This window comes from Homo sapiens, chromosome 15 (genome assembly GCF_000001405.40).
Source record: "Homo sapiens chromosome 15, GRCh38.p14 Primary Assembly".
NCBI classification, from domain to species: Eukaryota; Metazoa; Chordata; class Mammalia; order Primates; family Hominidae; genus Homo; species Homo sapiens.
The window spans coordinates 68,713,190-68,728,579 of NC_000015.10; the positions used below are offsets into that span (position 1 = coordinate 68,713,190).

General features: G+C 49.9%; 1 protein-coding gene across 5 annotated transcripts in view; it reads left to right on the forward strand.

Moving 5' to 3' along the window:
* CORO2B (coronin 2B) overlaps window positions 1-14,617 on the forward strand; it is a 209,434-nt gene extending 194,817 nt beyond the window's left edge. For all 5 annotated transcript variants that reach the window (NM_001324014.1, NM_006091.5, NM_001190456.2 and 2 more), the window contains 7 exons: window positions 736-852; window positions 1,370-1,474; window positions 2,026-2,122; window positions 5,509-5,621; window positions 5,955-6,045; window positions 6,224-6,363; window positions 12,654-14,617. In NM_001324014.1, coding sequence (NP_001310943.1) covers window positions 736-852; window positions 1,370-1,474; window positions 2,026-2,122; window positions 5,509-5,621; window positions 5,955-6,045; window positions 6,224-6,363; window positions 12,654-12,785 — 795 coding nt within the window. In that variant the 3' untranslated portion in view covers window positions 12,786-14,617. The remainder of the gene's footprint in view (window positions 1-735; window positions 853-1,369; window positions 1,475-2,025; window positions 2,123-5,508; window positions 5,622-5,954; window positions 6,046-6,223; window positions 6,364-12,653) is intronic.
* The last annotated feature ends 773 nt before the right edge of the window (window positions 14,618-15,390 follow it).

The window sequence follows — 15,390 nt, forward strand, 5'->3', positions numbered from 1 at the left end:
TGAGTCTCTTGTCCTCCTGAGCCTCAGTTTCCTCACCCTCAAAATGGGGATAATGATTTCTTCCGATAGATATTGTTATGGGGATGAAAAGCAATGCCCCTGGTGAGAGCTCCTGAAGTGGTGTAGCCCCCAACTGGACTTGGTGGACGTTGGCTCCCCTCTCGCTCCCTGTTCCCCACATTCTCTGGGAAATGGCAGAGAAGGCATCTGTGGAGCCATTGCTGCACAGTGCTTAGAACAGTGTCCTATGGCTGCTGTAACAAATGCCCACAAACTAGGTGGCTGAAAACAACAGAAATGTATTCTCTCACCATTCCAGAGGCCAGATGTCCCACATCAAGGTGTCAGCAGGACTGTACTCCCTACAGATGCTCTAGGAGAAAACCCATTCCTTGCCTCTTCTGGGGGTTGCCGGCTCCCGTGGCTGGTGGCCACATCACTCCAGTCTCTGCCTCCAGGGTCACACACCTTCTCCCCTGTGTGTCTCTGTAATCTTACCTCTCTCCCACAAGGACACTCATGATGGCATCCAGGATCCACCTGGATAATCCAGGGTAATCTCATCTCCAAATCCTTAGCTTAACCACATCTGCAAGGACCCTTTTCCAAATAAGGAAATAATTGCAGGGGCCAGGGCTGAGGACATGGGTGTATCTTTTCGGGACCACCATTCATGCCACTGCAGAACCCACATGTTGGGGACCCTGGCTCACCACCTCCCTCTGTTCCTACTAGGAGGCCAACTGCAAAAACCACAGAGTGAACCGGGTGGTGTTCCTGGGGAACATGAAGCGGCTCCTCACGACAGGGGTCTCCAGGTGGAACACAAGACAGATTGCCCTCTGGGACCAGGTCAGCCACGGGGAGGCCTGCTGGGTTTGGGCTAAAGGAAGCATCGTTGCCTCGGAGGTCACTTCCTCAGAAAGTCAGGAGCCTGGGCCCGCACACCAGCTTCTCATAGCATTCCCAGTGGAGAAATCAGACAGAGACCCCCAGAGGCCGAGCTTGGGTACAGAGGCTTCAAGGAACAATGTCGGCCACACCTGCAAGATGTTCACCCTCTTTTTCCAGAGTGGGGGCTGAGCTCCAGAGAGATTGAGAGACTTACCTGGGGACACATAGCAAGTAGCAGGTTTGGGGACAATGAGAACAAGTCCCTTGCCTCCTGTTTGTAAGACCCTTTCCACTGCCCCTGGCTGCTTTTCGTGACAAGAAAGTCAGTCTTGCCACCACCCATAGGACGGGCTTTTTAACATCTAGGGGAGGTCTTAACATAAAGTAGTTGCCATCCTAAGAGGCCTTCCTGGGATTTGGGGAGGGGTATGCCATCCTGCCTGCAGAGAGGCTGAGACCAGCTCTTCTCCCTCAGGAGGACCTCTCCATGCCCCTGATCGAAGAGGAAATTGATGGGCTCTCTGGCCTCCTGTTCCCCTTCTATGATGCTGACACCCACATGCTCTACCTGGCTGGAAAGGTAGTAGGAGGTGGGGGAGGGCCCGGGGCAGCCTGTGGGAGAGCCCTACCCTCAATGCACCCCTGCACCTGCCCCACCCCCTGGAGAGTAGCCAGCCTAACCTTCCAAGTTCCTGGGCCTCACCTTTCCCATCCACACCTGCCCTCAAGTCTGACACCCATTCTTACTCAAGTGTCTGCTACCAAGAATTCCTTCAAAGGTGAGCTGGAGCGGGCTTTTACATTGGAATAAAGATCAGAGCCTGCAGTGTAGTCAGTGATGAATGATGGAATTTGAGATACCCGCCAGGAGATCCTTGGTGAATACAGCCTTGTTTGTCAGAAAGGCTGTCTACACACACACACTCACATCAGCCCATCCACCTCCACCTCTCCACCCGCAGTGAGTCCCCTGTGGTGCACCCACTAGGAGCCTAGAAGCCAGGTTTCCTTGGTTTTTTTAACTGCCCATGAGGCACAGGGGAGAGCTGTCTTCAGCTGGCTCCTGGGACCAGGCCCTGCTCTGCCCTCCCTACCTGCCACCTTCCTCAACTCCATCTCTCCTGACCCCAGGGTGATGGAAACATCCGGTACTACGAGATCAGCACTGAGAAGCCCTACCTGAGTTACCTCATGGAGTTCCGCTCCCCAGCCCCGCAGAAAGGCCTAGGTAAGTGGCCCCGAGGCTGCCACAGCTGGTGTGCTCATGGCACGGGAGGACATCTGGCCCATGGGTCACCCCCTCCCTTAAGTGGAAAATCAGACTCAGAAGGCCATAGCACATGGGCAAGTTGGAACAGAACCTGCAAGAGCTGGCCCTGCTGCAGCTGTCACTGCCCACTGGACCGGCGCTGTCACCCCACTGTGCTCACATCCACCATCAGCGGCAGCTTGCCAGCATGTGCTCTGCGTCTGCACTCCTGATCGCAGATGGGGAGCCTGAAGCCCACAGTGGCTATGATGATGGTGGGAAGTGGTCCCGTAACTAGAGGTCAGAGTGGGGTCTAGGCACAAGTCCCTTCCTGAGCCTCTAGGAAGCCGTGACTCCCAGATCCCAGCAGCAGCTCTGTCTGCCTGATAGGGCAGGAAGAAGTTCCAGGTGTTCCCGTGACTGCAGCCCCAAGCTCCCTAGGCTCTCAGGCAGAAACCCAGAGAGGGCTCTGGGATTGACAGGGTGTAGTGAGTGAGACCCCACATTCTCCCACCACTAAAAGTCTTACAACCAATTTTCCTTCCTTTCAACTAACCTGGTAATGCATATGATTCAGCAATTCTATATTTCGGGTCCAAATCACCCAATGAAACACCTATTTTCAGGGACCTCCCGTTCCCACCTCTGCGGGTGATCCTCTTTGGAGCTTGAGTCTAGCTTGCTTTCCCTGTGGGTCTGGTATTATGGACAGGGCCTGAGGGCCAGCTTCAGGAACATCGGGGCTGAAAGGGCCTGAGAGCCCACTCCAGTGACCAACAGCAAAATGGAAACCAAAAGATGTCCGAAGTCCTAATCACCATTCCATCAACTTTACTCTTCCCCAACTCTGTCATCCCCACCTCCTTCACTGTCACTCCTGCATCAAATAGTATAAAAATCAGCCTGGACTTTGGAGTCAGACCTGGGTTTACATTCTGGCTCAGCTGTGCACTTAATCCCTCTAAGTCTCAGTTTCCTCATCTGTAAAATGTGGATAATCAAACCTTCCTTGAATGGCTAATGTAAGGCTTAGAGACCACATGTGCAAGGCACCTGGCAGAGCACTTGACTCCTCCTGCTCCTTCACATAGTTGTTCAACAAACAGTTATTGACCTCCAGCTGTGTACCAGACCCTGCGCGAAGTCCAGTGGCAAATAAAACAGAACATGGCCTTACTCTCATGGAGATCACATTCCACTGAGCAGGAGACAGGCAATAAACAAATAAGAAAAATATTGGATGGGAATGAGTTCTAGGCAGAGAGTCAAATGGTGTGCTAGAACAGAAAGTGACTGGGGGCTACTTCACCCCGGTGGTCAGGGAAGGCCTCTCTGTGATGATGGTATTTTAAGTTGAGCTCTGAAAGATGGGAAGGAGAAAGAGCAGTCCCAGCAGGGGGAATGGTTAGTGCAAAGCCTCTGTGGCCAGAATGAGCCTGGCATGTTCTAGGAGCAGAAGGGAGGTCAGTGTGGCTGAGCGTGGTGTAGACTCTGTGATGTAGCAGGAGATGGGGGGAGGATGTTAGGAGACCATCGGAGAGGGGGGCAGGGGCTAAATCCATGGGATGCATTAGCCTGGGAAAGGAGTTTGCATTTGATAAGGAAATCATTATGGGGAGGGTTCTTTTTCTTGAGTGGGACATGAGACAACATGATGGGATCCGAAATGTTAGTTAAGATTGCTCTGGCAGCCAGGTGTGGTGGCTCAAGCCTGTAATCCTAGCAGTTTGGGAGGCCGAGGCAGGTGGATCACCTGAGGTCAGGAGTTCGAGACCAGTCTGGCCAATATGGTGAAACCCTGTCTCTAAACCCTGTCACCAAAAATACAAAAAGTACCTGGGTGTGGTGATACACCCCTGTAATCCCAGCTACTTGGGAGGCTAAGGCAGGAGAATCGCTTGAACCCGGGAGGCAGAGGTTGCGGTGAGCTAAGATCACACCACTGCACTCCAACCTGGGCAACAGAGCCAGACTCTGTCAAAAAAAAAAAAAAAGATTTCTCTGGCTTCAGTAGAGAGAATGGATTTGGGAGGGGCAGGAGGAAGACAGGGAAACCAGTTAGGAAGAAGTTGCAGACTTTTAGGCAAGAGAGAATAATAGGTGGGGAGAAGGAAGACGGGGAGAACAGTGTGAATCCAGATGTTTAGAAAGTAATGTCAGCAGGACTTGCTAAGGTATCGGATATGGAGGGGTGGAGAGGAAAGAAGCAGGAAGGGCTCAGAATGACTCACTTCATCCTCATCCTCATCCTCCTCACCTGTGACCACTATTGAGCATTTGCTGTGATGTAGGCACTTCTTGTAGACTCAGAAAAGTTAAGCAACTCACCTGAGGCAGGTCTTATCTGCTAAGTAGCAGAAGAAGAACTCAGACCGAATCTGCTGGCTCTTAATCCCATTTGGGAAACCATTTCACCCCTTACCTCCAGCTCCTGGAATTCCTTTATGTGGAAGAGCAGGCTTCCAGCCCAGAGGAGGAGAGGCAGAGCCTTAACTCATATTCACAATACAGGGAAAGAAATGAATGTGGTCTGTGCTCGTCACGGTGCCAGGCAGTTAATGAGTATCTTGGAACATATTCTGCTGATCACCTCAGGTAGGGCCATTGTTGTCCTCCTCGAACCAGCCAAGGAACTGGAAGCTCAGAGAGTTGTAACTTGCCAAAGGACTCCTAGATGGAAAGGGGGCAGAGTGAGGACTCAAACCCCGTTGGTCCACCCCTAGATAGAGCTGTGCTCCTAGCACCACCACACTGCCCCTCATCCCCATGATAGACGTTCAGCAGAGGCAGCTGTTAGGGACATGTGGTAAGTGAACCCACACAGGAAACATGGGCACACATTGTTGGTTCTAGGAGACATAGAACAGAACAGCAATCTTAGGCTGCGTCCAGACCTCTAGGGTGTATGGGGAATGGCCTCTCCCTCCTTTCTCTCTCAGGACTGGAGACACAGGAGGCTTAGGGATGACTGTTCATTTCAGAGGGTAATGGGCTCTGTGGCCCTGCCCCTGCTGTGCTCTGTGACCTTGGGTAACCCCTTGCCCTCTGACCCTCTCTGGACCCTCATCTAGAAAAGGAGTGGGCTAGATTCAAATGTTTCTGCAGTTTCTTCCAATTCTAAAGGGTCCAATTCTAAAGCACGCACTGTGGTGAGGCAGGTCTGGCCCAAGGAGCTTGAGAAGTGACCACCCAGAGACAGAGACTGATTGAAGGCGCCCCGGTCTACCCCCTGCCCTCTGCATGGGCCGTTGCCTCCAAACCTAAGTACATTCCTCAGCCTTTCCCCTGGCCCAGAACATCATGGGGTGATGTCACTGAGACGCAGTTTCTGGGACCCCATGGAGCCACATGTGTGCCTGTTACAGGGGTCATGCCCAAGCACGGGCTGGATGTGTCAGCCTGCGAGGTGTTCCGCTTCTACAAGCTGGTGACTCTCAAGGGCCTGATCGAGCCCATCTCCATGATCGTGCCCCGGAGGGTAAGTGGGGCTGGGCTGGGCTCCAGGAGGGGGGCCTGCATCGCCTCTTAGCCTGCTCACCACTGACCATGACCCTGGAGAAACCCAGGTGAGAGATGTGCTGTGAACTGGGGTCTTCAAACCTAATTTGGGGTGAGGGGCATTCTCAGATGGGGACAGTTGGGTTTGCTCATGAGTGCAGTCAGGTAGTTCCAGGAGGGAGACACAGTGCAAAGGCATAGAGGCAGGAGAGCAGGTAGAGTGACTGGAGATCAGTAAGAAGAGTCTGACTGAAGAGTAGGGGCTTTCCCAGCAGCCCCCCATGTGTCCTCTCTTCTGCTCCTCCCACTGTAGTCAGATTCCTACCAGGAAGACATTTACCCAATGACACCAGGCACGGAGCCAGCACTGACCCCGGATGAATGGCTGGGAGGCATCAACCGAGGTACCACAGCGGGGGGCTCCACAGAGCACAGGCGGCTGCAGCCTTTGCCTTCAGCGCAGCTCACCCCAGTTCTCCTTGTCTGTCCCCCTGTTTGAACTTCCCTCCCACCCAGCCTGCTGGACCATCACCTGACAGTCCATGGGATCGTCAGTGAGAGCGTTTCCCTTGCCTTCTTTAGATCCCGTGCTGATGTCTTTGAAAGAAGGCTATAAGAAGTCCTCAAAAATGGTATTTAAGGCTCCCATCAAAGAAAAGAAGAGTGTTGTGGTCAACGGAATAGATTTATTAGAAAATGTCCCACCCAGGACAGAGAATGAGGTAAGGAATGTAAGTTATTACCTCCACAGGCCCTGGAAGAGCAAGACCTTTACATTTCAATTATGGGCTTCAGGCCTTTAAGCCAGTTCCATTCTGAGACATTTTTCTTTCTGTGACAAATGCCATAAGTAGCCTGATATTGGCTTCTGATGCTTCTGACCCCAATAAATAGAAGCTGGGATGTCTGGAGATATCGGTTCCCCACACCACCCCCACGCCTCAAATTCACTAACCCACAGTTATGCATCTCCTCATGAACTCATTTCAGAACGTTGCTGTCATTTGGAGTTCCAGGAGTTATAAATTCCTGACTAACAGGGGCAAGCCCGGCCTCGTGTATCACAGCCCTGCCTCCCTCGCTGGCGTTGCAGCAGTGCTGGAGTCTGACACTTCCAGTCTTTGTGGAAGAGACTGGGTGTTTATGAAGGTGCTCTCTGTACCACTTGGAATGGGAGCAAGCTCTTTTGGGGCAGCTCGGCTGGGCCTTGTCCATGTCCCCCAGCGGTATTTCGTTCCAGCCCACACCCCCATTCCCTGATGCCAACATGGTTTAGCTCAGCTGGGATTCACAGGATGCCTACTGTGTGCCAGACATAAGGCCTGATACAACTGAAATGGAGATGGCTGCATGACCCCACCTGCATTTGAATCCTGGCTCTGCCATTTCCTGGCTGTGACTGAGCAAGTCTACTGACCTTTATAAGTCCATTTCCTTGTGGTAAAATAGGGATATGGAAAGCTGTGAGCATTAAAGAGATAATTCATAAGTGTCTAGCACTCTTCCTGGCTCATATTAAGTGCTCAGAGAAAAAGGTCACCTGTATTAGCTACCTACTGCTGTGTAACAAATTACCCTAGAACTTAATGGCCTAAACCCACAAATGCTTATTAGCTCACAGTTTCTTTGCATGCCCGTGGCTGAAGGTCTCTCATGAGGGTACAGTTACACTGTCCACTGGGGCTGGAATCACATCTGAAGGCTCAACTTCCAAGTTCACTCATGTGGTTGCTGCTAGGACTCATGTCCTCAGGGGCTATTGGAGTGAGGGCCTCAGTTTCTCCTTGGGCTGTTGGCCAGAGCTTCCCTCAGGTCCCTGCCACGTGGACTCCTCCATAAGGCAGCTCACAACAGGGTATGTGAGCAGAAGAGCAAGAGAGGGCACCCAAGATGGAAGCTACAGTCTTTCTGTCACCTAATCTTGGAAATGGTATCCCACCACTTCTGCCCTATTCTGTTCATTTGAAGCAAGCTATTAGGGCCAGCCCATGCTTGAGGAGAGGGGATAAAATGGGAGCCATCTTAAACTAGACAGTCTATACCACCAACTTATGCTATCACTATTTTTTGTTTTGAGACAGAGTCTCACTCTGTTGCCCAGCCTGGAGCTCAGTGGCACAATCTCAGCTCACTGCAACCTATGCAGGTTCAAGCGATTGTCCTGCCCTAGCCTCCCAAGTAGCTGGGATTACAGGTGTGCACCACCACACCCAGCTAATTTTTGTATTTTTGGTAGAGACAGGGTTTCACCATGTTTGCCAGGCTGGTCTTGAACTCCTGACCTTAGGTGATCCACCTGCCTCGGCCTCCCAAAGTGCTGGGATTACAGATGTGAGCCACCACACCTGGCCCACTAATCACTATTATTAATAAAAATAAGACCCTTCTTGACCTCTGGGACCTCACAGTCTTAAGGGGGAGATTGGCAGGTAACTTGATAATTGCCATAAAATATGCTTGTATGCCATTGTAGAGGGATATTCAGGGCTAGATGAAATGATGTGATAAATGGGATTTGCTTTAAAATAACCCCTGAGGAAAGTGGTGCAGTGTAGGTGGGTGGCAGTAGAGGCGAAGTAAGAATGGTCATACGGGCTGGGCGCCGTAGCTCATGCCTGTAATCCCAGCACGTTGAGAGGCCAAGGCGGGTGGATCACCTGAGGTCAGGAGTTTGAGACCAGCCTGGTCAACATGGTGAAACCCTGTCTCTACTAAAAATACAAAAATTAGCCAGGCGTGGTGGTGCGCGCCTGTAATCCCAGCTGCTCAAGTGGCTGAGGCAGGAGAATCACTTGAACCCAGGAGGCAGAGACTAAAGCTGAGTGATGGGTACTTGGGGGTTCATGGTGCTATACTTTCTATTAATATAGATATATAACATTTTTCATTTAAAAAATTTTTAAGTGTTTTCTTGTATTTATTTATTTATGTTTTAGAGACAGAGTCCTGCCCTGTCTCCCAGACTGCAGTGCTGTGGCACGATCATAGCTCACTATAACCTCAATCTCCGAGGCTCAAGCAATAATCCCACCTTAGACTTCTGAGTAGCTGGAACTAGCGGCGTGTACCACCATACCCAACTAATTTGTTTTTAAACATTTTTGTAGAGACAGGGTCTTACTATATTGCACAGGCTGGTCTTAAACTCCTGGGCTCAAACAGTCCTCCCACTTTCGCCTCCCAATGTGCTGGGATTACAGTCATGAGACACTGCGCCCAGCTATTTTCTTGTTTTTAAAAGAACTCTACTCTTTGAAGATAGAGACACAGGGGTCATTGTGATAGCCCAGGAGGGCAATAACAAGGGCCTGAGCTCAGTTCTGGCACTGGGTCTGGAGAAGGCAGGGTTGAATAGTAGTTAAATCAAGCAATATTTCGCTGTAGACTTGCCTATGGAATCAGAATTGAGAACCTGGAGGAAAAGCTTAAAGGGTCTCAGAGCAGACAAAACAGATGCCACAATCTACACCAAAGTTGTGCATCTTCCTCGCTGGGAAGAAGCTTTCTCAAAGCCTGCTGACTCTGCCTTTATCCACAGTTTTAATCATCGTAGCAGTTCGGAAGCAGCCAGTTAGAAAGTGGGGCTGTCAAAGGTGGACGCATTGATCTAAGTGTGAGGAAACAACTGACAGCTTGATGCGAGGGAAAAGTCCTACGATTGTACAACTCAGGAACTTTACTAAAAATCGCTGAATTGTAAGCTTAAAATGAGTGACTTTTATGGTGTGTGAATTACACCTCACTAAAGCGGTTTTTTTGACAAAAGTGGACCAAAAAACAATGCAAAGAAATTTTGAGAACTTGGAAGACGCAAGAGTGTGTAGAGTCATTTAGTGCAAAGGCAAATAGCACGTCATCCCTCTCAACAGATGTAACTGGGACTGGTGGTTTGTTAGTTAACAAAAAATATTTTTTTAAGTTATATTTTTTTAAGTTAGTTAAAGGAGGCAATCATGGCTGGGCACGGTGGCTCACGCCTATAATCCCAGCACTTTGGGAGGCTGAGGCGGGAGGATTGCCTGAGGTTAAGAGTTCAAGACCAGCCTGACCAACATGGTGAAACCCTGTCTCTACTAAAAATACAAAATTAGCCAGGTGTGGTGGCGCACGCCTGTAATCCCAGCTACTCGGGAGGCTGAGGCAGGAGAATCACTTGAACCCAGGAGGCAGAGGTTGCAGTGAGCGGATATTGCACCATTGCACTCCAGCCTGGGCAACAAGAGTGAAACTCCGTCTCAAAAAAACAAAAACAAAAGGAGAGAATCATAAAAATGATACATACATTCTTTTTTTTTTTTTTTTTTTTTTTTAGACAGAGTCTTGCTCTGTCACCCAGGCTGGGGTACAATGGCACAATCTTGACTCACTGCAACCTCCACCTCCCGGGTTCAAGCAATTCTCCTGCCTTAGCCTCCCAAGTAGCTGGGACTACAGGTACCCACCACCATGCCTGGTTAATTTTTGCATTTTTAGTAGAGACAGGGTTTCACCATGTTGGCCAGGCTGGTCTTGAACTCCTGACCTCAGGTGATCCACCTGCCTCAGCCTCCCAAAGTGTTGGGCTTACAGGTGTGAGCCACGGCGCCCAGCCAATAGATACATTTGGTTTCTTTGTTGTTGTTGTTTTGTTTTGTTTTGTTTTGAGATGGAGTCTCACTTTGTCTCCCAGGCTGGAGTGCAGTGGCATGATCTCGGCTCACTGCAACCTCCACCTCCCGGGTTCAAGCAATTCTTTGCTTCAGCCTCCCGAGTAGCTGGGATTACAGGCACCTGCCACCACACCTGGCTAATTTTTATATTTTTAGTAGAGATGGGGTTTCACCATCTTGGCCAGACTGATCTTGAACTCCTGACCTCGTGATCCACCCACCTTGGCCTCCTAAAGTACTGGATTACAGGCGTGAGCCACCGTGCCCGGCCGATACCTTCTTTAAACCATTTATTTTTGTTTTAAACATAAAACATGCGAGGTGTAGTGGCACCCCTCTAGTCCCAGCTACTCAGGAGGCTCAGGTGGGAAGATCGCTTGAGCCCAGGAGTTTGAGTCCAGCCTGGGCAACATGGCAAGACTCTATCCCTAAAAAATAAAAGTAGGCCGGGGTGGTGGCTCACACCTGCAATCCCAGCACCTTGGGAGGCTGAGGGTGGATCACTTGAGGCCAGGAGTTCAAGACCAGCCTGGCCAACATGGTGAAACCCCGTCTCTACTAAAAATACAAAAATTAGCCGGGCGTGATGGCACACACCTGTAATCCCAGCTACTCCAGAGGCTGAAGCAGAAGAATACCTTGAACCCGGGAAGCGGAGGTTGCAGTGAGCCAAGATCGCGCCACTGCACTCCAGTCTGGGTGACAGAGCAAGACTCTGTCTCAAAAACAAACAAATAAATAAATAATAAAAATAAAACATATACATTCATTTAGCATATTTTGATGCAGGACCAGGACCTTTTCTTCAAGGAGGCCCTCCCTGGTTGGAATCTGCCATGTCTTTCACACAAATCACACCTTAACTCCCATTTCCAGTTTCCATTTCTTTTAGGTAGAAAAATAATTTAAAGTTCATCTGAAAGCAAAGTCCTAGTTTTTACAATGTTTTCTCTCATCTTTTTTTGAGACATTGAGGTATAATTTGCCTATGGTAAAATTCATCCTCTGTAGTGTGTCGGTTTAAGAGTTTTGACAAACACACACAGTCATGCAGCCACCATCAGCCAAGATATAGAATATTCTCCAGTCTTTTAGGGCTAGATCTTCCACACCCAATTCGGCCACAGTTTTTTTAGCATCATCTTTATCAAGATTTTCTAAAGCATTTAATTAAGTTTTTATAGAAACAACAACTCTCTTTTTGTGCTCATTTCATCAATTTATATTATATTTCATTAAATTATGCAATTACAATAACAAATGTAATTCACACCAGAAAGTTTGAGACCAAACACAATTGACTGTGGGTAACATTCAACTCAGGTGTGCAGGAGCCTCAAGGAGCCTGCTGCCTTCCAGGGCTCGGCGTTTTGTGGACATCTGTCAATATGCTTTACAGGAGAAATGGAGGCGGGTTAAGCTAGAGAGTCATTGGGGTGAAGATCTGCCAGGATAGCTGTACATGAATCCCTGACCAGTGCAAACTTTGGTATTCTTGTCATAGTTCCTCATCAGTAGGGAAAAAGCTAGATTCCATTCTGTATCCTGAGCCTCCTTAAGAAGAGAAGGATACAAAGCATTTTAGAAAGTTCTAAATTATCAGCACAAGCCGGGCATGGTAGCTTACACCTGTAATCCCAGCACTTTGGGAGGCTGAGGTGGGTGGATCTCTTGAGGTCAGGAGTTCGAGACCAGCCTGGCCAACATGGTGAAACCCAGTCTCTACTAAAAATACAAAAATTATCCAGGCATGGTGGCACATGCCTGTAATCCCAGCTACTCGGGAGGCTGAGGCAGGAGAATTGTTTGAACCCAGGAGACAGAGGTTGCAGTGAGCCGAAATCATGCCACCGCACTACAGCCTGGGCGACAAAGCGAGACTTTGTCTCAAAAATAAATAAATACATAAATTAGCAATAATAATGTAATAATATATGTAATACATGTAATAATACATCTATTATGTATTATTATACATCTATTATTATGTATTATTATAGATGTAATAATACATCTATTAATACAATGGTAAAGAAAAGCATTAAGTTAGGACCCAAAAAGGGACAAGCTTGGGATATTTGGAAAACTGGACTGTTTGGTCACTCCTTTTTCAGTGATCCTGAATCAATTAATGACGCAGGTTTTGTTTCCTACCTCACAAGGGAAAGTAAGAGCCATGGGCTGAGCTAGAGATGGGAGAGGTGCAATAAATGCACCTGGGGAGAATAAATGTATCAAGCAGTGGGAGGCCTGGGGGAATGTGAGGGCACGGGCGGCAGGCAGCTGGAGACTCACCTGGGAAATCCTTGTCTCACCTGCTCTCTCCTGGGCCCTCCTTGGCCCCCTCTCTTCCTCCACCCCAGCTCCTTCGAATGTTCTTCCGGCAGCAGGATGAGATTCGACGGTTGAAAGAGGAGCTGGCCCAGAAGGACATCCGCATTCGGCAGCTCCAGCTGGAACTGAAAAACTTGCGCAACAGCCCCAAGAACTGTTAGCTCCCCAGCTGGGCTGTTTTCTAAGCCGATCTCTCCGTCGTTTCTACTCATCCCTTAACTTCTCCCTTACCAGTGACCCCAGAGACAGAGCCAGGACAGGAGTGGGGGCCAGCCTGAGGACCCCCGCCTACCACCTCGAGAACTGGAAGCCAACCTCTAACCTCCTGACCTCATGCTAATAAAAGTCCCCAGCTTCTGGAGACCCCCTGCCGGCAGCCCCTTTCCCTGCCACCCCAGGAGCCAGGCTTCCCCTCAGCTGGGTGAAGACTACAGACTCCCTGGGGTTGGCAGGGGCTCCATCTCAGTGGACCAGGAAGCAAGAGGGGAAGCGGGATCCCAGCTAGACTTAGAACTTGGACTTTTCCCCTGTGAAGGGGGCTGCCAGGACATCTCAGCACTCCCGCCTGGAGCTCTCAGCATCACTGAAGGTACCACAGTGTAAGTGCTGGACTGCAGGCTGCAGTGATCCCTCTTTCGTCCCACCCCCTCTTCCCTCAGCAGCCCCGGAAGCCTGCCTCACCCGACGAGGACAGCGAGCGGCCCGGCTCCTTTCTGTCTCTTCCCTTCCCACCCTCTTGTCTTCAGGGAATTCAGAGGATTGCTCTCCAAGGCCATAATGACCCCTTGCCTTCCCCATGATTCTCTACAAAGCTCTTGCACACCCTTTTCCCATTCAATTTGTGAGCCAGGCAGGGTAGGGATTAGTGTCCCCCTTTGACAAATGACAGAACTGAGGGTTGCAATGGGGAAATGACTTATAAAGTCACCCAGCAGGTCAACAATGGGCCCACGACCAAGACCCTGGGTGTTCAGACCCCAAGGCCAGGGCCTTTCCCGCTGCATCAAGATGCCAATCCCTTTGTGGGCTTCACCAGTGCCCAAGTCTCTATGGAGAATGAGAACTGGAAGCCACTGCTACCGTCTACCCAGCACCAGTAGTGCCGATGTGCCACACTGCCCAGTTGAGGCCCCTCACGCTCTGTGCCCCTAGATCCTTCAGGTCCCCACCCTCAGCTGTCACCACCACCCTCCCCAGGGGACTCCATCTGAGATGAGGCCTCGTCCTCCTGGAAGCTGAGGCTGAGAAGGGTGGAGCTTGGCCCTGGGGAAGGCAGACCAGGGTCTGATGGCTTCTAGGGATGCTCTGCGTGTGTCTCAGCACCGCTATCTCAGCCACTTTCAGCCTTATGCACGTAGAATGACCACAGCCACTCGCATCCGTATAGCACTTTAAAGTTTCTGCAGTCCTTTGACACATAGGATCTCATGGAGCCTCACGTCTACTCCCTTCTGCAGATGAGGAAACCGAGAGAAGTGGCCCAAGGTCACGCAACTCTGAGATGCCACATTTCATTTGATCTTGTACACATTTTCTTTTATTCCTTCTTTTTTCCTCCTTTCATTTCCCACTACGCACAAAGAGTTTATAAACACTGTTCTCAGAAGAGTCACAGTTTGGGGTGAGATCTGGAAATCAAGAAATGGGTGTCCACTCTTTTCTTTCATTAGCTAGGATCTACTAGATGCATTATACTCCATACCTGCTTTTCCCATGGCCGCCCTACGGAAAATCCCATCCACAGAGGCCAGGGCTACCCAAGCCCCTCCAGGTGAGCTGGGCCTTTCCTTTATGAACCTCCATCCTCCCAGCCAGCTACAGTAGGGCCTCCTCACCCCGTACCCCACAGCTAGACAGTGTCAGCACTCATCTCCTCCTCCCACATTTCTGGAGCTTTTTTTTTTCCTTCCCCATTGACCTTTGTGGTCTTCTGTGATTATTTATGCTGCCTCCCAAGGATAGAATTGAAATAAAATGTTTTCAACTTATCAAACCTGGGCATAGCCATCTCATTTAACCCCAGTGGTTCCTGTTCTTGGTCACCATGGTACCTTGATGGTCAGCTCCCCACCCACAGCTCCTTTGCCTTTCTGGAATGACAACCCACGTCTGTACCTACAGATATAATTTCACACCTTCATTTATCTCAGCACTATTGACATTTGGGGCGAATAATTCTTTGCTGTGGGGGCTGCCCTGTACATTGTAAGATATTTAGCAGTATCCCTGGCTCCACCAATCAGATGCCATAGCAACCCTCATCCAATTGGGACAACCAAAAATGTCCCCAGATATTGCCCAATGTCCCCTGGGGTGTCAGAATCACCTCCCGGTTAAGAACCACTGTTCTACCGCTATTCAATAGATGCTGCCCCGTGTTGGGGTCTGGGTGAGACCAACGCTCTACATTGGAACGGTGCCTTGAAGTTTATCAGGCAGGATTCCACACACTTGACTCATTTGATCTTCATAGCAGCTCTAATTGGTAGGTCCGATTATTCCTGTTTTCAAGAAAAGCAGTCAGGCCCAGAGTGGTGACATGTTCAAGGTCACTCAGCCAGTGTAGTGGGGGAAATACACAGGGACTGGGTCTTATGAGCCAGAGCCAGAGAAGGTCTGTGTTCCCAGTCCCCAGCCAGACTCAGAGCTGGGCAGAGTCTGTTCTGGGAGCGTGGCCGGGGCCCATTCTGAGACCAGGGATGCTAGATATCCTCAGTCTCTCAGTAGTCCAAGGTTGTCTTAAATAAGAGTTGTCAGGCTGCAAAG